General features: G+C 45.7%; 1 protein-coding gene and 1 pseudogene across 3 annotated transcripts in view, besides 7 other annotated features; one reads left to right on the forward strand and one right to left on the reverse strand.

The window, feature by feature from the left end:
- LYN (LYN proto-oncogene, Src family tyrosine kinase) overlaps positions 1-25,634 on the forward strand; it is a 134,335-nt gene that overhangs the window by 94,309 nt on the left and 14,392 nt on the right. For all 3 annotated transcript variants that reach the window (NM_002350.4, NM_001111097.3, XM_011517529.4), the window contains 2 exons: positions 24,203-24,356; positions 25,275-25,406. In NM_002350.4, the coding sequence (NP_002341.1) occupies positions 24,203-24,356; positions 25,275-25,406 (286 nt within the window). The remainder of the gene's footprint in view (positions 1-24,202; positions 24,357-25,274; positions 25,407-25,634) is intronic.
- Positions 5,789-6,289: an enhancer, noted in NCBI's record as "H3K4me1 hESC enhancer chr8:56892491-56892991 (GRCh37/hg19 assembly coordinates)". NCBI's record gives its function as "activates a minimal SCP1, AML or CMV promoter by ChIP-STARR-seq in primed H9 embryonic stem cells {active_cell/tissue: H9 hESC(primed)}" and the evidence as "EXISTENCE:reporter gene assay evidence [ECO:0000049][PMID:30033119]".
- RN7SL798P (RNA, 7SL, cytoplasmic 798, pseudogene) lies at positions 6,097-6,397 on the reverse strand (annotated as a pseudogene).
- Positions 6,334-6,834: an enhancer, noted in NCBI's record as "H3K4me1 hESC enhancer chr8:56893036-56893536 (GRCh37/hg19 assembly coordinates)". NCBI's record gives its function as "activates a minimal SCP1, AML or CMV promoter by ChIP-STARR-seq in primed H9 embryonic stem cells {active_cell/tissue: H9 hESC(primed)}" and the evidence as "EXISTENCE:reporter gene assay evidence [ECO:0000049][PMID:30033119]".
- Positions 10,513-10,709: a silencer, noted in NCBI's record as "fragment chr8:56897215-56897411 (GRCh37/hg19 assembly coordinates)". NCBI's record gives its function as "represses an EF-1alpha promoter that drives an FKBP-Casp9 reporter gene in an ReSE screen in HepG2 liver carcinoma cells {active_cell/tissue: HepG2}" and the evidence as "EXISTENCE:reporter gene assay evidence [ECO:0000049][PMID:32094911]".
- Positions 16,648-16,737: an enhancer, noted in NCBI's record as "active region_27393". NCBI's record gives its function as "activates an Ori minimal core promoter by ATAC-STARR-seq in GM12878 lymphoblastoid cells {active_cell/tissue: GM12878}" and the evidence as "EXISTENCE:reporter gene assay evidence [ECO:0000049][PMID:35858748]".
- Positions 17,208-17,267: an enhancer, noted in NCBI's record as "active region_27394". NCBI's record gives its function as "activates an Ori minimal core promoter by ATAC-STARR-seq in GM12878 lymphoblastoid cells {active_cell/tissue: GM12878}" and the evidence as "EXISTENCE:reporter gene assay evidence [ECO:0000049][PMID:35858748]".
- Positions 17,578-17,677: an enhancer, noted in NCBI's record as "active region_27395". NCBI's record gives its function as "activates an Ori minimal core promoter by ATAC-STARR-seq in GM12878 lymphoblastoid cells {active_cell/tissue: GM12878}" and the evidence as "EXISTENCE:reporter gene assay evidence [ECO:0000049][PMID:35858748]".
- Positions 18,168-18,327: an enhancer, noted in NCBI's record as "active region_27396". NCBI's record gives its function as "activates an Ori minimal core promoter by ATAC-STARR-seq in GM12878 lymphoblastoid cells {active_cell/tissue: GM12878}" and the evidence as "EXISTENCE:reporter gene assay evidence [ECO:0000049][PMID:35858748]".

Consider the following 25,634-nt stretch of genomic DNA (forward strand, 5'->3'; position numbering starts at 1 on the left):
ATTGCTGGGACTTGATCCAGGGACTTCTGACTCAAGATAACTGATTCTTTCCTCTGCAGCCTGCTGTTGTCTCATGGTTACAGTTGCTGTTATGGTCATTTTGCACTCAACCCTACTGTGATATGCATTTTCCCCGTTATGGATTTTGACCATCAAAATTAATGTTTTCTTTAGCTTTTTCCACTTCAAAAGTCTTTATTGCCAAGATGGAGGTTATGCTCAAGGTATATTTTACCCCCAGTATTAAATTTAAAGCCACATTTTAAGGTGGAAATTGGTAAAATGAGGAAGGTAGGAAAACTCTATCTAGGAAGTTCTCGACCTTTTTGAGTAGGAGGGCCTTTTAACAGCAGAGCTTTCTGAGCACACCCTCATGGTTGTAGCTACTGAGTGAGAAAACAGTGTATAGATTGGGAAGCCCTTGTAATATCTCTTGGTTGAAACTCACCAGTATGTTGGTCGTAAATCAGGCTTGAAGGGTCTAGAGGGGGAAGTTCTTGGGAAGTTTCTAGAATATTTGCCAATATCATCCAAAGTGGGTCTCTTCTTCTGTCTCTTTGTCTGGAACGTAAGAGATGTGTTAGACGCTCATATTCCACCTCAAGGCTATTATCCCAGTGAATCAACTGCTTTATCTTCAAAGCCTTGATTAGTAACAACCTTTGATTGATAGCGTCCTCATGTTTAGTTCACTCAAGCTGGAGGGAGAGTTGCATTGAGATGTCGAGTCAGACGTGGTGGCAAGTGGAAGCCGCAGGTGATTGACATGGTTTGCGGTTTAACCAGGAGGCCAGATCCGCTCCCCACTCCATATATAATCTCCCCTCCACGTGGAAATTCTCATACATGACTCTTACTGAGGCCTACACATTCCCAATCGCTCTTTCAAGCACAAGAGGCTCCTTAGAGAGAAAAACAGCCAGCACTGAAGAAGGCATTCATGAATTTCATAGAGGAATCTGAGCCGGGTGCCGCTGTGGATTCAGGGGCCACATAGTGGTCAGGATGTGATGGTCCCTGAGTGGGCATTGCTTGGAGCTGATGCTTGGAAACCTCAGCTTTCTCAGTATACAAATGTTAACACAGCTGGTGGTTAGCTCTTTCTCAGAATTTGAGAAATGTTGCCATGATTTTGTAAATGGAGCCTAGATTATGCTAATGATGGAGAAATCACTGAGCCAAGAACCAGAAAACCTGCTTCTGCATGGGGAAAATCACTTTGTGGGCACCAGTGTCCTCGTCTGTGAGATGGGAGGCACAGGTTGGGTTTCCCACAGCCTCAGCTCTAATATTGCATGACTAAGGACATCTCCTTTTATTTAGACTATCTATGTGAATCGTCACCAAAAGTTGCAACTAATGATTCTGAGGCTATGCAGATGACATTGATATAAGATTTTAGCATTGCTCTAAATAAGGGAACACAAATATATCACTTTAATGCAGTACTTACATGTTGGGCACTTAAATGCTCTATTTATCTTTTTTGAATAATGAGTGTTATGTTTTCAGCTTAAACTTTGACCATGAAAACTTAGAAAATGGACAAATGAAACTAGTTACTGTCAGAATTGCAAAAGTGGATCATATGCAGTTTCCTTCTGAAAAAGCCAAAGGAATAGGAAACTGTCATTTAAAAATAGTATAAAACAGGAACTCTTTTTTTTTTTTGGTAAGGTGGGGGTGGGGCTGTTTTGCATATTTAAGCAAGAGGAATCATGACTGGCTGTTAAAATAGCAAATAAGGCAGAATTTATTTTTGCTTTAAATTTGATTGGGAAGCTTTGGGTTAGTGTATGGCAGAGGTGGTGGTGCTTTTGGCCTGCAGGCAAGATCTGTCTCTTATCTTAATGTTATTTTGACCAGGGGTGGCAATTTCTGGTGAGTGCTACCGTAAGTCACAAAATGCTATTCTCTTTGGGTACTCATCATGGAAGCTTGCAGGGCTAGAATTCAACTGAAGTGGTTTAGGAGTGGGCAGAGTTTATCACCAGCTGGTCACAGTTGAAAAGTGGAGATGAAAGCAGTTTGAAATTAGCCAGGCTTGGTGGTGCGTGCCTGTAATCCCAGCTACTCCGAAGGCTGAGGTAGGAGAATCACTTGAACCCAGGAGGCAGAGGTTGCAGTGAGCCAAGATCACACCACTACATTCCAGCCTGAGTGACAGAGCAAGACTCCATCTCAAAAAAAAAAAAAAAAAAGAAGGAAGGAAGGAAGGAAAGAAAGAAAGCAAGAAAGCATTTTGAAGGGAGCAGTGGAGAGTAAATTCCAGCTGACCTTTGTCTCCAGCACTTGGCTTGCTCTCCCTGAGCCCCCTCACCCTCTTGGTGTGGCCCGCTCCCTTTCACTCACACAGCTATCCTGAGCACAGCCAGGCACTGTGTCAGGAGGGATGAGCAAACGGCACATGGCATGGAGTGGGGGACAGGTGAGTTGCAGGCAAAGACAGGGTACAGCCCTGGGATATGGCAAGGGCTGTCAGAGTGGGCACCGCATGCTACTTTCAGAGTACATGGAGGAGGATGGAGCGTAGTAGGGTGGGCTAGCAGGTGGAAGGTGGGCTTCCTGGAGGAGGTCACCCTGAGAGCCAGGATTAGCCCTGCTAGCTTGGGAAGGGGTGTGGCTGCAGGGATGGGTCTTCAGTTGTAGGAACCTCGTGCATAAAGGCACAGAAAAGGAGTACACGGGGATGCAAGTGGGGGTATATGGAGAGAACAGCTTAGGGGGCACTCTGAGAGACATGGACATTAAGGAAACTAGGCCGAGCACAGTGGCTCATGGCTGTAATCCCAGCACTTTGGGAGGCCGAGGTGGGTGGATCACCTGAGGTCAGGAGTTTGAGACCAGCCTGGCCAACATGGTGAAACCCGGTCTCTACTAAAAATACAAAAGTTAGCCGGGCATGGTGGTGTGCGCCTGTAATCCCAGCTACTCAGGAGGCTTAGGCAGGAGAATCGCTTGAACCCAGAAGGCGGAGATTGCAGTGAGCCAAGATCGTGCCACTGCACTCCAGCCTGGGCAACAAGAGCAAGACTCTGTCTCAAAAAAAAAATAAAAATAAAAATAAACTAGACCGGTTCATTCTCAGTTGTGGAAGACTAAACTGTTTTGTAGATAACTCTGGTTTAAAAAATGTATCTGTACAAAATAAAAATGCTTATACTCAGCAAATAGTTTCAACAGGACTTACAGTTTTACCCTTTTAGTCAAAGTAGGCCTTTAAATCATTAGTGGATGCTTTTTGTATTTACTGTAATATGTATTCATGTTACCTCTGTTCTCCCCCAACACACCAGGGTGTTCTTTATAGAAATTGGTCTGTTTTGACTTTTGGAGAATCACAGAGTTCTCAGCTTTTCATGCTCCTAACATTTTGTTTTATTACTGTTTTTGTTGCTGTTTTTGTTTTGTTTTTTAAAACTGAGACCAGGAAGGGTGGGATGGAAAAGGAATGGGAGAGTTTGTGTTCTAGCCCAGAGCTCATCTCTGTCTGGCACAGTGGCTCATGCCTGTAATCCCAGCTCTTTGGGAGGCTGAAGTGGGAGGGTTGCCTGAGGCTGGGAGTTTGAGCCCAGCCTGGGCAACACAGTGAGACTCCTATCTCTACCAAAAAAAAAAAAAAAAAAATTAGCCAGGCCTGATGGTCGTGCCTGTAATCCCAGCTACTCAGGAGGCTGAGACGAGAGGATTGATCGAACCCGGGAAGTTGAGGCTCAAGTGAGCTATGATTACACCCACCGCCCTCCAGCCTAGGTGACAGAGCAAGACCCTGCCTCTAAAAAAACAAAACAAAAGCAAACAGAGCTCGTCTCTAAAGGGTACACTCTGAAACGGACAGGACTTCTTCTGAGCTTTTTCAATTCAGAGCTAGATTCTCAGGCCCTCTCCCCAACCCCTCACTAAAGCCAAGAAGCACCTGAAGGAGTTCAGCCCAAGTCTGGAGATACTTAAACCTCTCAACCAAGTGGCTTTCCTGGTGCTGTCCCTGAAGCAGGTGTGAGGCCTGAGTTATGAAACTGAGGTGGGTTGCCTGGGGATAATGGGGATCGACTGAGCATTTCAGCAGGAATGTGATAGGATGAGACCTGTGCTTTAAAAGTTGCCCCAGCCACCGTATACAAAAATGATTAGAAGGGGTGAAAGCTAGAGTCCAGGGATGAGGGAGGGAGGATGGGCCTGAGCGAGGTCAGTGTTGCCTATCACAGGCACATAGAAATAGAGAAGGAATGTGCATGGGGCAGCTGAGGACCGCCATTGCGGGCACGGGGTTGAGGTGGCTGATGAAATTAGTTTTGCTGTACTGGGTTTGAAGTGCCATGAAACATCAGCTAGAGATGGGCAGCTAGCGTGGACAGGCATTTTAGTATAGGGGTCTGGGGCTAGAGGCTTCAAGGAGGCTGGTGCTGCAGACAGTCATATAAATAGGGGTTGGATGAGGTCCCCTAGAGAGTGTGGGAAGGGGCAGAGGACAGCCCCAGACAGACCCTAAAGAAAGGGCTGAGAGGGACAAGTCAGAGAGCAGGCTGGGGACACCAGAAGCACAGTGGCCTGTAAGGAGGAGGTGGGGTTGCAGCGCAGGCGACGGAGTTCTGACACGCAGTCAGAGAGCAGGGAAACTGCCACGGGACTTTGCGACAGGGAAGTCTTTGAGAACCTGGCTGGACCCTTCTCAGTGACATGGTTTGGGTGGAAGCCAAGCCCTTGGCCTCTCTCCCTCTTCCTGATCCCTAGAACCCTGTTCTCTGCCTGCACAGGCTCCTCCCTAGCCCTGGCTGACTCCTCTTCCTTTTTCTTTCTCCTCTGCTGCCGCTTTTCTCTCCATGCTTCCCTGACCGCTCAGCATGCCTCACTCTTGAAAAAAATGTGATTTTTCTCTGTACTTAAATGAAACCATGCACTTCTCATTCTTTTTTTTTTTTTTTTTTTTTGAGATGGAGTTTTGCTCTTGTCACCCACGGTGGAGTGCAATGGTGCTCACTGCAACCTCCGCCTCCCAGGCTCAAGCAATTCTGCCTCAGCCTCCCGAGTAGCTGGGATTACAAACGTGTGCCACCACGCCCAGCTAATTTTTGTATTATTAGTAGAGTTGGGTTTCACCATGTTGGCCAGGCTGGTCCTGAACTCCCAACCTCAGGTGATCCACCCGCCTCGGCCTCCCAAAGTGCAGGGATTACAGGCGTCAGCCACCGTGCCCAGCCTCATTCTTGTTTTTTAAAGTGGTTTTCTTCTGTGATGGAATAAAATGAAATAAAATTACTGAGAGAGGAACTTAAATTATTGGTTTTTAAAAATATATGGTTTTGTAGACTTCTGTAGAAACACAGCATTCTTCGCCTACCCTCGGAGCACGTGCTGTAGCTATGCATTTGTGTCTGTAGCTCTGCAGCTCGTGGGGCTTTGTGAAACACAATGAGAAGCATCTAAAAACTGAGTCACCAAAAGTAGCCCTTGCCCCCATTTAAGACCGGTTTGACTGAAATGTGTATTCTGAGGTCAGTTTGGTGCCTGGAATGCATTCCCCAGGTTTTGCTGAGGTTCCCATCTCAGGCCTCCACCCAGCACAGCTCTGCAGATCTCACCCTGATTCAGCGTCACCCCAGGAAATGGTGTGTCTGGGCTCCTTGGTATGGTTTCTAAGGCAGCTCCTCTCTGCCAAGCAGCAGCCTGACACCCTGCCCAAGGCTCAGAGGGATGCCACAGCATCTCCGGGGCTGCCAGAGGGCCGCCCACCCTGGTGCGGAAGACCCCACCCGAGCTCCTGCCATAGTTGCTGCCTCCTGGCCTCTTCCCCTCCCCACATCAAGACCTGTTCCTTGGAGATGAGGCCTGCAGCTGACAGCCCTCCAGAGGCCCTGCCCCAGTAGGGCTCAGAGCCCATGTGCACAGGCAGCATTCCACCTAGGCAGGCCACAGTCCCCGGGAGGTGGCCACACAGGGTCCCCCTGAGCCATGGCTTTCTCAGCCAATGGTCTGCCCAGCCCTCCTCACTCATAATCAAGTCCTCTCATTTCTTCTTCCAAAATAGATCTCCCTCCTCCAGGTCACCATTGTCTCTCATCTGCACTATTGCAGTTGCTGCTTTTTTTTTGTCTTTTTTGAGATGGGGTCTCACTATTTTATCCAGGCTGGAGTGCAGTGGCTTTTCACAGGCATGATGCCACTACTCCTAAGCACAGGAGTTTTGAGCTGCTCCGCTTCTGACCTGGGCCGGTTCACCCCTTCTTAACCAACCTAGAGGTCCTCCACTCCCAGGAGTCACCATATTGATTCCGAACTTAGTGCAGACACCGGATGGGCATAGCAAAGTGCAGCCCAGAGCTCCTGGGCTCAAGCCATCCTCCCACCTCAGACTCCCAAGTAGCTGGGATTACAGGCATACACCATCGTGCCCCACAGTTGCTTCTTAACTGGTGTTGTCCAGTTTGGCAAACAGAAGAAATTCAAGGTATACAGTCAAATTTGGATTTTGGATAAACACTAGCTTTTAACAGAAGGGTGCCCATGTCTTCCCAGGCAGCCCTGCTCCTAATGAGCCTCCCTCCTGTCTCTTTGGCTACCCTCTTTCCAGGCTCCACAAAGTAGGCAGGGACAATTGGATGCTTTTAAAATTTTTGCCTTTTTAAAATTGTGGTGGTAAAATAAACACAAATTACACCATTTTAACCATGTCTAAGTTTATGGTTGTTGGCAGTAAGAACATTCACATTGTTGTGAAACCATCACCAACATCCACCTGCAGAACTCTTTCATCTTCCCAGACGGAAGCTCTTTGCCCACTCAATGCCAGCTCCCCGCGGCCGCTTGCTAGCCCCTGGCCACCCCCGTGCTGTTCTCGGTCTCTGTGAATCTTACAGACTGGATGGTTTTGCATCCCTGCTCAGCTCCGTTCAGTGGGTCCCCACCACACCCAGAGAGACTCCCAACACCTGTGCATGTGACTGATTCCTCAGCACTGAGCCCACCACGCTCTTCCCTATCCCAGTGCCTCTCCAGAGCCCACTTCCTGGAAGCGCTCACCCTTTGTTCTGAGCCACACCACACCTCTTATCAACAGGCACCTTCCCTGACCTTCCTTCTGAAGCAGTTCCATCCCAACTCCTGCTTACTCCATTCTCCTCAGTCTCGGTCCCCGCCCATTTCTTCCATAGCGTGTACTGCAATTTGAATTTTTTGATAAGTTCTTCTTTACCTTTTTATCCCCAGCACTTGGTGCAGTGCCTTGTATATAGTAGATGCTCAAAAATGCTTGTTGGATGACTATACTGGCCACTTAAAATGGGGATTGACTATATTCCGTTTAAAACAATAAATTCTTTATTCTCTGCTTCATACAGCTCTGAATGAGTAACTAGAAGAACATATTTTTTGTGTGTTTAAAAAAATTTTTTTTAATATAGAGATAGGGTCTCACTACATTGTTTAGGCTGGTCTTGAACTCCTGAGTTCAAGCAGTCCTCCCACCTCTGCCTCCCAAAGTGCTGGGATTATAGGTGTGAGCCACCGTGCCCGGCCAGAACACATGCTTTTGAAAAGGTTTTCTGAGTCATTATTCAGGTGTATTTAACCATAAAGTATTTTCTTCTTCCCCTTCCTCTAACTATAGGTTTACTTTCCTGTACAAAACTTACTTCATTGGTTGAAATAAAAGTGAGAAAAGAAGAAGGAAGTAGAATACAAGTATCTGGGCCTGTGGGAAAAACAAAGTGCAGCTTTGTTTTGCATTCCTTGTGGCATAAAGAACACCAGGAGGAATGAGAAATTATAAATGAAGTATTTGACATTGAAGCCAACGGCAGATGCATTCTGCTTAATTTGGAGGGAAAAAACCCCACAACTGAACAGGTTTGTCCTCCCCCAGTGTCATGCAGGGCCTCTCGTGGCCTCTCCCTGGGCGCTGAACAGAGCCCTTTCTCAGCACCTGTTGGCAGAGGTTGATGCTAGAGTTCCCAGGGTGATGGGCTGGCGGATTCTTAACAAAGTCAGGATTTCCAGCTCTTGTTCATTTTCCACCCAGCGCCCCCAGTGTCTGTAACATCATTATCTGGCAATGTTATATGTTACAGAGCCAACTACTTGCATGATTATTAAAATTACATTTATACTTCAGGTTGAGTATCTCTTATTCAAAATGCTTAGGTCCAGAAGTGCTTCAGATTTGGTTTTGTTTTTTTTTTAATCCTCAGATTTTTGAATATTTGCATTATACTTACTGATTAACCATTTCAAAAAGTTTTGAATCTTGGAGCAATATGGATTTTGGGTTTTTGGATTAGGTATGTTCAACCTGTAGTATTGTCAATGGAACCAATGGTGTGCTGAGGTATTTTTGATGCATTACAAGGAGCTGTACGGCTTGATCTTCTTTTCCATTTCCAGACCTTCTACCTCCCCCACCCAGGACCCCCAGCTTTGGAGTCCACGCCATCAGACTGTGCCAGTCTGACTCACTTCACTGCTGTGGTCCTCGGATCCCCGAACACTCCTCCTTGCTGTGGTCAGCTCCGGCTGGCTTGCTGTTCCCAGCACAGCCCTGTCATCATTCCATCATTTGTAGCCATCCCCACCTTCAAATGCTGGCTTCTCTGTGTCTTGACTTCCTCCCCTCCAAGACTCTGTCCTCTCCCCTCGAGCCACTCTGCAGGCTGACCAATTCTGCTGCTCATTGCTTCATTTGATCGTTTCCACTTCAGCCATTGCCTCCCTTCTGTCCACTCACCCTCCTGCAGCCGCTCCAGCCCCTACAGCCTCAGCCTGTCACCAGCACTTCCCGTCCCTTGAACCTGCCTGTCCCTACCGCCCCTCCGCTCCTGCTTCTCTTCTCTCCTCCCCTAGCTTGGAGACACTCATTGCCCCTCCCCCATGTCACACGCACCTGGTAAAATGCCAGCCCTATGGAAGTCCGACCCTTCACCTATTTTGCCCTCATGTCCACACAACAGCTGTGACCTGCACTGAGATGCCTAGCAGCTTTCTGCATTTCCAGTTCAAGAGCACCAGCCTGAGGAGCCTCATGAACCCCGACATGTGCCCAGTCTGCTCCCTCTCACTGCCTGCTAGAAACAATGCCCCACCTTCCCTTTCTCTGCCCTCAAACCTTCCCCTACTTGCCTCTCTCTGTGGATTCCCTGCTGTCTCTTTCCCTGAGACAAGAGAAGCTGCCAGCCAAGAGCCCTGACATGCATCAGGTCTTGTGCTCTCTTGCTGTTTCAAGACACTGTTCTAGAAATTCCGCATTAGCGTTTTCCCTCACTTCTGCACTTCCCATAGGAATCAAAGTAAAGCCTTCACTTTCCCCTACATCCCTCTCCAGCTACCTCAGCCTCCAGGTGTCTCCTCCCCCTGACAACAGAAGTGTTTTAGGAACTATGCTCAGTTTCCCCCAGTTCTTCCCCACCCGCCCTCTCTTGAACCTCCCACCCCTCGACCCCAGCAGCACAAGTCAGCAGTGACCCTCAGGACACTACATCCAAAGGGCACCCATCTCTCAGCATCTTCCTAGCTGCCCACCAGCAGGGTCTGCTATTGTCAGTCTCACTCCCTCATGGCACGTTTTCCTCATTTGGCTTCTGGGACACTGTTCTCTGCTTTTCCTTCCCCCTCACCAGCCAGCTTCTCATTTGCCCAGTGGTTAAACCTTGCAATGTCCCAGAACTCACTCTTTCAACCTATTTTTTCTCCACACTAAGTCTCCTAAGTGATTCCATTGAAAGCATTGTATTAATTTCCTGGGGCTGTCAGGGCGCTTAAAACAATAGAAATGTATTTTCCTGCAGTCCTGGAGGCCAGAAGTCTGGAATGAAGGTATAGGCAGGGCTGTGCTTCCAGGTTCTTGGGAAGAATCCTTCCGTACCTCTTCCAGCTTCTGGCAGCTCCGATGTTCCATTCCATGTCTTGTTGACCGCACTGCTCCTCTTCCCACCTCTGTCTTCCGGTGGCCTCTGACCTTCCTCTGCCTTCTCTCATAAAGATACCAGTGGTTCTATTTAGGGCCCACCCTAAATCCAGGGTGAGATTTCATTTTGAGATCCTTAATTAAATCTGGAAAGACTCTATTTCCAAATAAGGCCACATTCTGAGGTTCCGGGTGGTCGTGAGTTTTGGGGGGACATTAGTTAATCCAGCACAGCTGTCTAGACTCCGGCCACTCCGAAGCTTCTAGCTCAGCCCAAACTGCTCCCGTGAGCCCCTGCTGGCTCAGCATCTGCCCAAAGATGTGTGTTGGGCATGTCAAACTCAATGCACCCCAACTCAGTGCCTATTACCCCCTTTTCCAAAACCTGTGCCAGCAGCCATCTTCTCCCTTTTGTTGATGGCACCTCTGTCCTTGGAGCTGTCAGATCCCAACACTCAAAGTCATTCTTGACCCTCTTCCTTTTACATTGTATATCCAATTCCTCAGCAAGTCTGGGGTTCTACCCTCAAAGTAGATTCACCTTCCTAAGTCCTGCACATGGTCACTCTGACCCAACTTGAATACACACTCAAAGTGAGTAATCTAGGAGCTGGCTCTCTACTCCTGTGCTCAGCTGTGGCTTCCCCCAGCCCAGTGGTCACACAGCAGTCAGAGCAATGCTTTGAGGCATAAATCAGATAACCCCCTCACTCTCAGCCCTCCAGTTCTTCTTGGCTTCACTCGGAATGCAGGGGGAAGCCCCCATAAGGCCATTTGCCTGCAGTGTGTGTCAGTCATGATGTAGATTTGCTTTCAGAAGTTACTCCTTTTCATACATTTTTTATTGTCTTATTTGTTTGGAAATCTATGTTTCAGGGTTTCATGTGCTTATCATTAAATTCACCTTGGATTCTTGTTTAAAATCTGCAGGTGTCTAGGTAGGTCCCTCTCACTGTTAGCAGTCATTAAGGACTAGGGCCCTGAATAAGCCGCAGGGGTCCTGTGGGCTTCAATAGTCGGGAAACACTGCCATTGAGAAGTTGCTGAACCGAGCAAGTGATCCTTTTTCTAGGTCACGCATCTTGCAAGGGAATGCTGCTTTTCCCCATTAGAAAGCTGCACTGCTGGGGAGGAACTGTACTTCTCTCACTGCTCTAAGTGAGTGAAACCCAGTAATTGTTTGCTGAAATCACTAGGCATGGACAAGTCCTACCTGGTGAGCAAAATGCTTGACCTTGCTTCTTCCTCAGCTTCGGCCCTTGCAGCCACACCCACCTGCTCTTGCCCCCACATCCTTAGGTAAAGGAAAATGCAGGAGCAGCCACAGAGAGCAGACGTCACAGGCTTCCCTCGCAAACACATGGTATTTTGAAAACGCACTTCAAAGGGGTTGAAATATAAATAAAGAGGATAGCAAATCTGTTTCAGGTATATTTGGAATTTGTTAGATCTTGTTACAGATTTCCTTTAAGTTTGTCACAGGACAAATAAGTCAGGGATTGTTTTCGGAGCCCAGGCGCTGTCTTTATACAGGAATTCTTTTCAGAATAACACACATCAAGTTCTTTAAGGTATTTTGTCTTAGTTGAAATATAGCACAGCTGCCTGCTATGTATTTTCTTCTTCTCAGCTATCTGACATGGTGTATATTCATGTGCTGGATTATTATTTTCTGTCTTCCCCCATCAAAGAGTAAACTCTGCAGGCAAGGACTGTTTAGTGGACCTGCAACTGGGTGGGGCTTGTGGCATACAGGCAGGACTGTGTGTGGTTGGATGGAAGGGGGAATGTCAGTTCTCGTAAGCTAATGGAGATACCTTGACCTTCAGTCTTTTAATATACTAAGGGTGACCAGGCTCAGTGGCTCATGTCTGTAATCCCAACATTTTGGGAGGCTGAGGCAGGAGGATCAGTTGAACCCAGGAGTTCGAGACCCGCCTGGGCAATATAGTGAGACCTCATCTCTACAAAAAAATAAACAAAATTAGTTGGGTGTGGCAGTGAGCACCTGTGGTCCCAGTTACTCAGGAGGCTGAGGTAGGAGGATTGCTTAAGTCCTGTAGGTTGAGGCTGCAGTGAGCTGTGATCCTGCCACTGCTCTCTGTCCTGGGCAACAGAGACCCTGTCTCAAAAAAAAAATCCACCAGAATCCCCCCCGCAAAAAAAAACGCTACCTTATGTATATGCTAAGGGAGTAGTCATGGCATGGCATCCTAGTGACATTACAAATAGCAGCCATATCCCTTTACATTCCTGCCAGCAGTGTGTGAGATTTCCAGTTTCTCCACATCCTCACTAACACTTGTTATTTTCTGGGTTTTGATAATATCTATCTTCGGGGTAGTACAGTGAGTTTTGAAATATCTATCCCAAAGACATAGTTCAGTGAGTTTTTGCAAGAGAAAGTAAATGGGTATTCATTGACAAACTTTTCTTCCTGTTTTCTAAAGAAGGTAATTCTGTTTCGTGGACACTTAATGATTTAAATATGGGTATTTGGTGAAGCTGTCATTTTGAAAATCATCTCTCCCTAAGGCATTGTGGGTCCTTGCATGCTGACAGATTGACTAGATTTTGAGCAGTCACAGAAATCTCCACCAGCCCTAAGCTTGGATATGCCAAACACTGCCTCATCTTTGAGCTATGAAGGTAGTCTAACAGACTGCAAGCTTTAACTTGACTGTTTATTATGATTATTATTATTTTAGAGACAGGATCTCTTTCTGTTGTCCTAGGCTAGAGAGCAGTGATGTGATCATACCTCACTGCAGCCTGAAACTCCTAGGCTCAAGCGATCCTCCTGCTTCAGCTTCCCAGGTAGCTGGGACCACAAGCATGTGCCACTACACCCGGCTAATTTTTAATTTTTTGTAGAGATAGGGTCTTGTTACGTTGTCCAGGGTGTTCTGAACTCAAGTGATCCTTCCTGCTAGTCCTCACAAAGCACTGGGATTACAGGTGGGAGCCGCCACATTCGGCCTAAGTTGACCATTTTTTAAATTATCTGACTTTCTTATTTCTTTTTGCCTCTTTTTTTTCCACTGCCAACTTGGTGAGCATTGTATTTTTAGAATAGAATAAAAAGAATCTTTTCTTGCCAGGCGCTGTGGCTCATGCGTGTAATTTCAGCACTTTGGGAGGCTAAGGCAGGCGGATCACCTGAGATCAGGAGTTCGAGACCACACTGGGGAACATGATGAAACACCGTCTCTACTAAAATAAAAAAAATTAGCTGAGTGTGGTGGCGAGTAGGTCCCAGCTACTGGGGAGGCTGAGGCACAAGAATTGCTCGAGCCCCGGAGGTGGAGGTTACAGTGAGCCAAGATCAGGCACTACACTCCAGCTTGGGCTACAGAGTGAGACTTCATCTCAAAAAAAAAAAAAAAAATCTTTTCTGTTTATTTATTTATTTTGAGACAGAGCCTCACTCTGTTGCCCAGGATGGAGTGCAGTGGTGCAGTCTTGTCTTGCAACCTCCGCTTCCTGGGTTCAAGCCTCAGCTTCCCAAATAGCTGGGATTATGGGTGCCCGCCACCACACCTAGCTAAGTTTTGTATTTTAGTGGAGACAGGGTTTCACCACATTGGGCAGGCTGGTCTCGAACTCCTAGCCTCAAGTGATCCACCCACCTCGTCCTCCCAAAGTGCTGGGATTATAGGCATGAGCCACCATGGCTGGCTCAAATCCTTTCTTTTTAAAGGAAGGAGCCAATGTGGATGAATGCTTAAGAGCACAGACTCTTAAGCCTGGACCAGCCAGACTCAGGTTGGAATCCTGGCCTTTCTAGGGAAATTGTAACCTCTCCAAGACTCAGCTTCGTCCTCGTTACTATGAATATAACCTACTTTATGGGCTTATTTTAACGACTAACATGCCTAGCACAGTGCCTGGGCAAGTAGTAGCTAATACATGGTAGCAATCATCATCATCATCAAAGTATAGATTTCACTATTTCTTAGCAGTTATACTTGGAAAAGGAGATTATTATGATAACCAAATAAAGCTAAAATAAAATTTCCAAGAAATTTTGATCCCAAAAAAGTAGAGTACAAACAAGAATGCATGAGCTCTCTGTTCCATCCCTTTCCTCCATCCAAATTATGGATTGGAGATTAGAGGAATCTAGTGTTGGGGAATCAATGAATATTAACAAGTAGAAAAGTGTTTCTGTGACAACTGTTGAGAGGTATAAAACAAATGCTGTCATATTTGCAGTACAGACAAGTTGAGTTCTTAAACTTTTTGCAAACTCCCTGGTGTGTGTGTGTGTGTGTGTGTGTGTGTGTGTGTGTGTTTACATCCTATTTTTTTGTTGTTATCATTAAATGGTCTTTTTAGGTCAGTTTGGGATTGACTCCAGGGGCTTCCTGTTATAAAAAAATCCTTTAGAGAGACTGTAGGTTTTACTCAATTTCTACTTATTTTTCAGTTCCAACTTATTAATATTGTTATTTTATAGGCATCCTAGGGCTTTTGAACATCATTAATTATGTGAATTCTTCTTTTTCTCAAGCATAGGAAGACAATACATCCTTAGAGAGTAAGGTAAACAGTGTCTACTAAAACAGGTAAAGCACCAGGAAAATCAGATCTTCATTTTTCCTACTTTTTGACAGGTTTCTCATTTAATTTTTCTCACTGCTTGTCTAGATGACAAATGTTTTCCAAGCAGCCAATTCTAAGACAGGTTGCGTTTTCAGTTCCAGTTTCTCATTTAGGCTGGAATTTCCTGGGGTAGTTTTTAGCTTTGCTTGAGAGATCACATTCAGCCCCTCAGTGAGGTTCCTTTGATCCCTTTTTTCCCTCAGTCATCTGACAGAAATGGGGGTTCTTCTCATTAAAGTGAAAAAAAAAAACCCAAAAAACAAAAAACTCACCGAGCAAGATAGCCTTGCTTGTCTTTGCCAATTTCTCAAAAAGCGATAGTAATTAGGATGAACAGAAGAGCACTAAAGCAAGATTTCCAGAGTGAGGTCATCCACAGAACACTTCATTATTTGTCCAAAGCATTGCTCATGTTCTCTGGTGGTAGCAGCCGGGTATGTGTGCTGAGCAAACAGTCCACAGGGCACATGCCCAGCAAGGCTGGTGATGGCTCAGAGCCTGCGCCTCGGGTGGGAGAGAGCTTGCTGGAAGCCGGTTTCACCGTGTGGGATGCTGGGGTTGACAGACTTCTCACTGGGCCTTTGAGAAAAGCGGGAAAGATGAATGACCTGGATGGTCATCACTAGGAAGCTACTAAGCAGGGGCATTATTTGAGCTCTGCTTGGATTTGTAAAACATAATTGAGATTGTGCTCTCTATCAAACCCGCATAAAAGAAGTCCATCTGATATATTACCTAGGGCCTTGGTGGTTAGGAATTTCCCATCTCTGGTGTGGTCATAGGCAACCCACTTCTCAGTGGGTGTGTTTGATGACACAAAACCGCAGTGCCTCATGAGGGAGAGCCCGGTTGCCTTTCCTCGAGAAGGTCCAGGCAGGTGCATTTGGATAGGGCTTGCTGAGCCTACTCACATGGACACTCCCCATTCAGGAAATAGCAACTTGGACTTTCTACTTTAACATTGTTAGAGGAGAGGGAATTTAAATGAGTGCATTCCACTCAAATGTTTCTAAAACTTTGGTCTCATTTAACCAAACCAAAAACCATCTGAGACAGGTCTCCATCAATTTAGAGGTTTATTTTGCCGAGGTTGAGGACCATGGCTCATGACACAGCCACCAGAGATCCTGGGAACATGTGTCCAAGGTGGCTGGGATACAGCTTGATCTTACACATTTTAGGGAGACAGAAGTTATAGGCAAAGACATAAATCAGTACACAGAAGGTGTACATTGGTTCAACCCAGGAAGGCGGGATGTCTTGAAGCTGGGAGGGGAGGCTTCCAGGCCATAAGTGGATTCAAAAATTTCCTGATTGGCCAGGCACAGTGACTCATGCCTGTAATCCCAGTACTTTAGGAGGCCGAAGTGGGTGGATCACCTGAGGTCAGGAGTTTGAGACCAGCCTGGCCAACATGGCAAAACACTGTCTCTACTAAAAATATAAAAATTAGCCAGGCATGGTGGCGGACACCTGTAGTCCCAGCTACTCAGGAGACTGAGGCAGGAGAATCGCTTGAACCCAGGAGGTGGAGGTTGCAGTGAGCTGAGACTGTGCCACTGCACTCCAGCCTGGGTGATAGAGTGAGACTCTGCCTCCAAAAAAAAAAAAAAAAAAAAAAAAGTCCTGATTGGCCATTGGTTGAAGGAGTTAAGCTTTGCCTGAAGAGTTGTAGTAAGCTTGAGTTAAGGTATAGGAAGTGGTGGTTGTAGAAGCAAAGGTTCTTATCATGTAGATGAAGACTTCAGGTAGCAGGCCTCAGAGAGAACAGATGTGAATGTCTCTTATGGGACCTTAAAAGGTGTCAGTTAAATCTCTCCTGGATCAGGAAAAGACTTGGAAAGGGAATGGGATTCTCTATAGAATATAAATTTCCCCCATAAGAGATGGCTTTGCAGGGCCGTTTCAAAATTTGTCAGAGAAATATATTTTAAGGTAAAATACTTTGATCTTCTTTAGAACCTGTTATCTGTCATGTGATGTTATACTAAAGTCTGGTTGGAATTTGGTATCTTATTGCTGCAAAGAGTCTGTTTATCAGTCTCAGGATCTCTATTTTAATGTGAATGCTGGTCATTGGTGTCTACACTCCAAAAGGGAGAAGGGCATAATGAGTCATGTCCAATTCCCCCTTCTCATCATGGCCTGAACTAGTTTTTCAGGTTTCTTTGAAATCCCCTGGGCCAAGGGGAGGGTCTACCCAGTTGGTTAAGAGGCTTAGAATTTTAATTTTGTTTTACATGTTTTAAACCTCATACCCTGGGGAAAAAGTTATTTGCAAAGTAAATAGGACTCTAAATTTTGTATTCTGTCCCCACTCTGCCCAGCTTAAGTGTGTGCCTATTTAAGGGTGTCTGTGTGTGTGAAATCATACTAGAGATGTGAATATACCAACAAATAGAGACACGCCGGCAGTACTACCACGTCAACTTAAGCAGCTGTGTCCATAGTGGCCTCTGAGATGCTGCTCGGGGTCTGAGGTCTATCCCTGATCCCACTCTGCCACCAGCCCTGACAGCTGGGTTGCCTCCACCTGGAGGAAGTGGCACCTTTTCTCACCTGCTGTGGCCCCAAGGGTATCTTTGTTGAAGGGTTGACACTTCCTGTTTCACACCAGCAGTGGGGGAGAAAGTCCTGCCCCTTTGGGGTCAGAACGTTGGGTAAGACCTTACTTCTCTCTTTCTCTGGTCCACTTGTGCCTCTAGCTGCCTCAAAGCCCTGACTTATGGAAGGCATCTGTTCAGCTGACTGGCAGTGGAGGAAGAGGCAGACACTTGGTGACTAACTCCTTTTCTTCTCATTGTATGTTACAAAGGCCACTCTAGATGACTGGAAGTCTATCTATCCAGCCAAACAAGATAAGCCTGCCCATTAACTCAGGAAGCATTATTATTAATATGTTCTGTGCACCTAGACTTTTCATTGTGTACAAGATGCCAAGAGTTTCACCAGAACCCCCCACCCCCAGGATTTGCTCTCTGACCCAGTAGTTCTGTGCCTCCTCCCAGGACAGCAGTGGGCTCAGCATGGTCTTCTTTGTCATCAGCTTCAGGCACAGGCGTTTTCAGGAAACAATCACCTTGCTCCACACTCAGAGTTTTGGTCATGGTGCACCCCCACATGCTCCCTTGTCCCTGTGCTCAGTAAACCGCTTTTTAAAAACGAAAATGAAAAACACAGAAACAGCACAGGTAGAAAATACCATCATATGTTTTCACTGAAGGCAAAAAAAGAAACTAAAAAATGTGCATTGGCCATGCTATTTGAATCAAAGAGCACAAGAAGCATCAGCACATCTCAGCTTAAGTCAAGAGTATGGAAACCTCACTGACATCGTCTCTTTACGTGATTAGTCTCATTTTTGGTAATAGGGATGCTTTTTATTTCAGATTTCCAGTAGCTTCACACATCAACTTTCTGAGACAGAGTTAGACATCAGCACTGGGTGAAAGAGACAGTTTAAATTAGTTCTTTGGTGTCGGCAGGTGGTTTAGAAAGTTGGGGTTTTCTTGTCTTTGTTCACCCCTGGGCCTGACATTATAATGAAGAGAATCACATGGCCTAAGATGAAGAGAATCTCCTCATTTGGTTTAGAACCAAAAGATTTTATCGGTTTCCCAAGCTCTGTGAGTAATGTCTCTGGGCCCAGAGCTGTGATAGAGAGGGAGAGGAGCTGAGGCCTGACCCTGTATCCCCTGCCTCCAAGCCATGAGGCCCACAGGGTCCTGACCTAAGTTGCAGGAAAAACAAGCTCAAGCCATGTGTTCCAAACAGTTGATGGGCTAGGAATTCTTCCAAGGTGTTTGGAGAACCTTCCTCACCTGCCCTTTCCCTCACCCCAGCTCCATATGGAGCCTCCTCCTCCCTGCCTGGGCTCCTTATGCTGGCCCTGCACATCTTACTCCTTCTTTTGTTAAGCTGAGTTGCATCTGGACTTCCTCCCCAACCATTATGATGGTAACAGTCTACCTGTGAGGTTGCTCAAAGGCAACGTGTTGAGACTAAGATTTTGTTGCAATCCTAAAATAGCTTAAGCTTTCAAGCCTATGATCTAGTGCTCTGCTTCTCAAACTCTAAGCTCTGGAGGCTGGGAAGTCCAAGATCAAGGCGCCAGTAGATACAGTGCCTGGCGAGGTACTTCTTTCTGTGTCCTCACATGGAAGAAGGTGGAAGGGCACAAAAAGGGTCAAACTCTCTGTGAAGCCTATTTTATAAGGGCCTTAATCCAATTCATGAGGGAGGATCTCTCATGACCCAATCACCTCCTAAAGGCCCCCCCTCTTAATACGATTGCATTGGAGATTAAGTTTCAACATGAATTTGGAGGGACACATTCAGACCATAGCATCATGCATTTGCAGTGGGGGTAAGATTGCCCCCAAGGGAGCAAAAATTGATCCCTTAGGGGTGATAAAAATCTTAGATATTACAATAGTTTGTGGCCCTCCAAAGTTCATACCTACCTAATACAACCTTCTTTCCTCATGTTTAATTTCTCCTGTTAAGGATGCCTTAACTTTAAATTTTAATTTTAATTCAGTAATTCTTCCTGGAGGAATAATAATGAAAAAAAAGTTTGAGAAACAATGTTCTAGACAGAGACAACCTAAACAAAGTTTTGCATGTACTTCCTGAAATGGGAACCAGAACTTGGCCTGGGGAGAGCTTGTGATTCCCTTTCTGAGGGGTGAAATTTGTACTTAACAACAATGAGAGGAAACCTCAGAAGTCTCTTTTTATCTTCTCAGAGAAGAAGTACTCTCTCAATGAAATCTTTGGGTTCCAGAAGCATTTAGTTATGAGTACTGAGCTCTCTTGGTACTGAGCTCTCTTGTGGGTCTGACATTCTGGAGTGTGGTGTTAGAATCGTGGACTTTGAGGTCAGACACGCCTGGTGTAAATGGGAGCATTCCCCTTCACTCTGCAGCTTTCAACTGGTTCTTTAATTTCTCAAAGCCTCATTTGCATCTGTACAATGGAAGTAAAACCTACCTGGTCAATTTGCTATTAAGATGAAACATGAATTGAGTGTAAAGGATGTGAAGCAGTGTTTGGTGTATAGTAGGTGTTCAATTAGTGGTGGGGAAATGGTGGTTATTAATATCCATCTACCTACCCACCTACCTATCATCATCATCTTAGTAAAATGTCTGTGGGCACAAAACAACACAACAATCTTCTGAATCAAACACATCCTCTTCTCATCAAGCTTGACCAACTCCATGTAACTCCCACAGAAGTCAAGCTTTCCAAGCTGCTGGAACAATAGGAAGTGGGAGTCCCTGGGGACAGCTGAGCCTTGGTTTATGTATTTATGTGACAGCTCTTTCTGTAGTGCTGAACGCTACATGGCCCTGGAAGAGGAAGAAGGTATTCCATGAAAAGTTGACACTACATTCAATCAGCCAAAGGAGTCTCTGATTTCTTCCTGCTGTTTGAAATAGAGCTGGATTTACTTAGCCGTAGTAAATAGACCACCTTCAACAACAACAAATTAAGGTTTTAAAAAAAATAAACCAAGAAAGAACAATACACAAAGACCAGGGAAAGAATAAAGAGAATGAATTAATTTTATATAAAGGGAGAGGTGTGATATTTATCATCTGAAAAGCAAGTCATATCTGAGAGCTTTTATTTTGCTCCCATATTCATTATTTATTCAACTTGGCTAATGCTGTTGTTTCTAATCCTGTCTTGGTGAACGCTTTAATTACTGTTTGGAATCTGAGCTCCTTAAAGCACTCTGGCATGGAAAAGAAGGCCAAAATACACTAGGTTTGTTGCAAGTCTGTTATTATTTCTGAGAATCATTTTTTTAAATGCACTCAGATTTATGCAAATGCGGGATGTGGGTAGGTGTGACAAATGCCTTACTAACAAGTCCCTGGAGTGCTTTTTGTAATGAGTTGATCATCACGTGTGTCCTTGCTGCTGTGTGGGAGGCTGGGTCCCTGCCATCATGCCCACCTGTGTGGCCGATCAACAGCGTTGGGAGAGGGGCAGCACAGGTTCCTGGTTGCTATTGTCAACTGTGGTTTCAGGCCCAATTTGGGACTTCAGCCAGCTTTGGCTTCTTTGGGTTCTTGGCCCAGTTTATATATAATTATTGGAATGTTAGGTAGATAAGTGTCTAAGAGCTAAGAATTTTTAAAGGCTGCACTACCATGGAGTGGAGCCGGGAGGCTGGGACAGAGTCAGCTATGACCGCTCAATTGCTGCTGTCTCATCTGGGCTCCTGTAACCAACTCTGGTCTGTTTGAGCCAGGCATCGTGGTTCTATCGCCAAAAGCCTACTGTGTTATAATCGTACACTCCTTTCTTTCACACATGCTCAGCCTGATCTTCGCTCTCCACTTTTCCCAGTTTTACTGGCTTTTTCTAACAAGTCTTGTTGAACTTGGGTTACCAGCAGACAAAAGGAAACAGAGGCAGGGCTCCTCTCTCCCAGCCGCCACCAAAATTGCCACCCCGTGTCATCTGTTTCAGTAGTGCCCACTCTAGAAGGAGCTATCCTGAACTTCCTGACGCCCTCACCATGCCACTGCCTGCTGTTTCTGGGCAGCAGAGGCTTCCTAGAGAAAGTCAGACTCAGGAGCTCTGCCTTCACCTGGTTATCACCACTGCCCACCTTCTGTTGACTTCCCATCAAGGCTGTTTGAATCTTTTCCAGGGTCAGGTAAAAGCTGTGCATCTCCCCAGTGCTCAGGGTTTGTGACAGTTGGGAGAAAGGCAGGGGACACGAAGTCACTGCTCTCCAAACCTGCCCTGTCCTTTTCCTACTGTCCGTCTGGTTTCTGCTCCACTCAGCCTCTGTCCCACTTCTCAAGTCCCTCATGAAATGAAGCCTCCTGCTGTGCTTAGTGCTGTGCTGTGCTCAGTGCTGGGATGGGTTCATGTTCCTGCAGAAATTGTGGACAGGTAGTCAGGTGAGGAGCAGGGAGCACTGGGGATGCATGCACACCTGGCAGGAGAGGGTATGCCAGGCATGGCTTCCGGGAGAAGTAAAATCTCAGCTGAGACAGGCAAACTGCATAGGTCGGGTGAAAGGGGCAGGGAGGGAATGAGCGTTCCACACAGAGGCAGGGGGTGTAGAAGCACAAAGGAGGGGGTCGTGGTGAGGAGGTGGAGGGCTGAGCCGGGGCCGGGTCATACGGGGCCTTGGCAGCAGTGCAAAGGAGCTTGGACCACATTCTTTGTTTCCACTCGGAAGTGAAATACTGGACTGAATAGTCTTTGAGACTGATGTAGGCCACACTGATTATTTTACTTGAGATTTTTGTGACCATGAGAATATCATCTGCCAAATCCCTGTAGTAGTGGGCTAACAAGATAGTATTCTGGTCATGTGAAAACCCCAGCCCATTTCCCAAAGGACTTACTTTGTCTCTGATAAGAGGTTTGGTGACAAGTTTGAAGGCTCCAATGTATACAAGTGAGAATAGAAAAGATATTTTCAGCCCTAGAGGTGTTTATCAACTGGCTAACATGACACCACTGAGAGCATTAAACAGCATAAAAATAATGACAAAGCTGTGATCAGCAGCTGCAGATGGTTTTTGTACACATTGACCATCTAGGGTGAGTAAAGGGGAGTTCAGGGAAGGCCCACGGGGCAGAAGGTGAGGCCAGGGATTGGCCTAGAGGGGAAGCAAAGGCAGACCCAATACCAAGGAGCTAATCTTTTGCTAAGCAACGTGGTCTGGAACTGGCGGCCTGAAGTGCTTGATTACCAGGGATACTGTTGCAGATGACTGGGGAAAGTCAGATCCTCCAAGCCGAGCCACCTGCAATTCAAGGTAGAATCTGGCAGAATACATTCATTCCTGTGTGAAAAATTCGAATCAGAGTTTTCTCTAACTGCTTACCAGATAAACTACTACTTGGCTTTCTTTACTTCTTGCCCTTTTTCTTGCTTCTTACTTCCCTCCTTTCCTCCTCTCTCCTTGTTTCCTTCCTTCCTTCATTTCCTTGTTCCTTCCTTCTTTCCTTGCTTGCTTTCTTCCATCCTTCCTTCCCTCCTTCCTTTCCTTTCTTCCTTCCTTCTCCTTAACTTTATAATTTGGTAATGTCTTCCTTAAAAACCTGACTTTGGAACGATACTACACTTTCTATTCAGCAACGAGTAGTAGTTTTGCCTCCCTATGTTATTGTTGTGTTTAAATCCTGGATTCTTTCCTGCTGTCATACTTTGTCATGAGAGTGAATCTTGCCGGGCGTGGTGGCTCATGCCTGTAATTTCAGCACTTTGGGAGGCTGAGGTGAGTGGATCACCTGAGGCCAGGAATTTGAGACCAGCCTGATGAAACCCCATCTCTACTAAAAATACAAAAACTAGCATGGTGAAACCCCGTCTGTACTAAAAATACAAAAATTCGCCAGGCATGGTGGTGCGTGCCTGTAATCCCAGCTACTCGGGAGGCTGAGGAAGGAGAATCACTTGAACCTAGGAGGCGGGAGGTTGCAGTGAGCTGAGATCATGCTACTGCACTCCAGCCTGGGGGAGACAGTGAGACTGTCTCAAAAAAAAAAAAAAAAGAGTGAATCTTTGTGATTGTCCTGGAGGGAATGTGCAGAGAGAACTTGGAGAGCCAGTTCCATGGGCTGTTGATTAACCTGACAGAAACGACATCCTGTTCTTGATACCTTAATAATTTATTTGTATTAGCATGTCACTTTCTCCAACTCTATTTTCATAGTTGGTTCAGGCTGCCATAATAAAATTCCATAGACTGGGTGGCTTAAACGAGAGACATTTATTTCCCACAGTTTAGGGGCAAGGAAAGCCCTGGCAGGTTTCATGTCTGATGAGGGGCCATTTCCTGGTTCATAGATGGCACCATATAGCTGTGTCCTCACGTGGTGGAAGGGGCAAGGCAGCTCTCTGGGGTCTCTTTTACAAGGGCACTAATCCCATTCGTGAGGGCTCCACCGTCCTGATCTAATCACCTGCCAAGGCCCTGCCTCCTAATACTATTGCCTCGGGGTTCAGGATTGCAACATTTGAACTTTGGGGTAGGGGGCGGGGAATGGGACACAAACATTCAGACCATAGCATCTGTTTTCTGATTTGAGAAACTGGCATAATAACATCTATGTATCTACATGGATGAATTTAGCAGGGTCTTGAAAAGATTCTTCACACATTAGAAAATGTTAAGACATGGCCAGGCGCGGTGGCTCACGCCTGTAATCCCAGCACTTTGGGAGGCCAAGGCGGGCGGATCACGAGGTCAGGAGATCGAGACCATCCTGGCTAACATGGTGAAACCCCGTCTCTACTAAAAATACAAAAAATTAGCCGGGCATGGTGGTGGGTGCCTGTAGTCCCAGCTACTCGGGAGGCTGAGGCAGGAGAATGGTGTGAACCCAGGAGGTGGAGCTTGCAGTGAGCCAAGATAGCGCCACTGCACTCCGGCCTGGGTGAAAGAGCGAGACTCCGTCTCAAGAAAAAAAAAGAAAATGTTAAGACATGTTCCTTTTTTTTTTTTTAAGATGACCATTGTTGGAGATTTGGCAGAGGGTGGTCAGTTATTTTAGAAAGGGCTCAAATGGTGATTGCCATTACCCACTGTCTTTAAAAGCTGAATGATCAAAATAGTATACATGAAAAGATTTCAGGAATTCATAAGTTTTCCGGTTTTCCTTGATGGCACTTTCCAGTCACCTACCCTACATATGAAAATGGGAGCCTATTTCTGTTTTCAGATTGCAGAGGGAATGGCATACATCGAGCGGAAGAACTACATTCACCGGGACCTGCGAGCAGCTAATGTTCTGGTCTCCGAGTCACTCATGTGCAAAATTGCAGATTTTGGCCTTGCTAGAGTAATTGAAGATAATGAGTACACAGCAAGGGAAGGTATGTTGCACTAATGATCTTTAGATGTTTTATTATTGTGTTTTATTTTGTTTTTGTCTGTTTTTGACAAAGCAATTACAATAGTCACCATTAAGAAAAACTTATTTGGTACAACATTTAAGCTGTACCATAATTGTCTGCTTATGGTTCTATTCTAATAGTTTCTAGAAGGTACTCTCTTGATTAACTCCACATGATACTTTTGTTAGGCTTACAAATGCTATCAGTTGTATTTCAATTAAGCAATGCAAAACACAAATAGATTCAGCAAGATGATTCTTGTTTATTTTGTATTGTTAAAGTTTTCACTCAAACAATGAATATAATATACGGGGCTGTGGAGAAAATATTTGTAACATTAATTCTATATTGTTTATTCCAGCCTTTTAATTACAAATTAAAACATGAACATTACCATACACACAGAACTAAATATAATGCAAAAAATCTACTTCTTTATTTTCCCACATTCTGTATTATATATATGAACCAAAAATGCACAGAGAGGCCTAAGTTCCCCAGCCTGTGGCACATTGTCAGGGGGCCAAGCATGGTCGGGACTGCAGGGCCTTTCTTGGGCTAGGATTGCCCACGTGGTTATGACTGAGGATTCTTATGCTCTCACCCACGAGAGCTGAGCAAATATTTTTGCAGTGCTCACTGTCTTCTGGAAGAGACAAGCACTTTCTTGAAATTCCTAAGCATTGTTGAACAAGGATTATTATTATTTTATTATTTTGAACCTGGGAGGTGAAGGTTGCAGTGAGCCGAGATCGCATCATTACATTCCAGCCTGGGTGACAAGAGTGAAACTCCGCCTCAAAAAAAGAAAAGAAAAGAAAGTATGGGGTCACATGTTCATGACTTTTTTGTTTAAGTTTAAATACCCAAGTAAGAACCACATATCTTCTTCCTTAGGTGCTAAGTTCCCTATTAAGTGGACGGCTCCAGAAGCAATCAACTTTGGATGTTTCACTATTAAGTCTGATGTGTGGTCCTTTGGAATCCTCCTATACGAAATTGTCACCTATGGGAAAATTCCCTACCCAGGTATGGTTTACTTAGCTATTTACAATCAAGCTGTATAAATGAGAAAAAGTCAGGTTGCATGAAGGCATTAAAAAGTAATAATTACTTCATCTACCCGATAGCAAAGAATAAGTGCTTTGAGCCAGAACTTGATTTTCACGGGCTGGGCATGGTGGCTCACGCCTGTAATCCCAGCACTTTGGGAGGCCGAGGCAGGTGGATCACCTGAGGTCGGGAGTTGGAGACCAG

This window comes from Homo sapiens, chromosome 8, assembly GCF_000001405.40.
Source record: "Homo sapiens chromosome 8, GRCh38.p14 Primary Assembly".
Taxonomy (NCBI): Eukaryota; Metazoa; Chordata; class Mammalia; order Primates; family Hominidae; genus Homo; species Homo sapiens.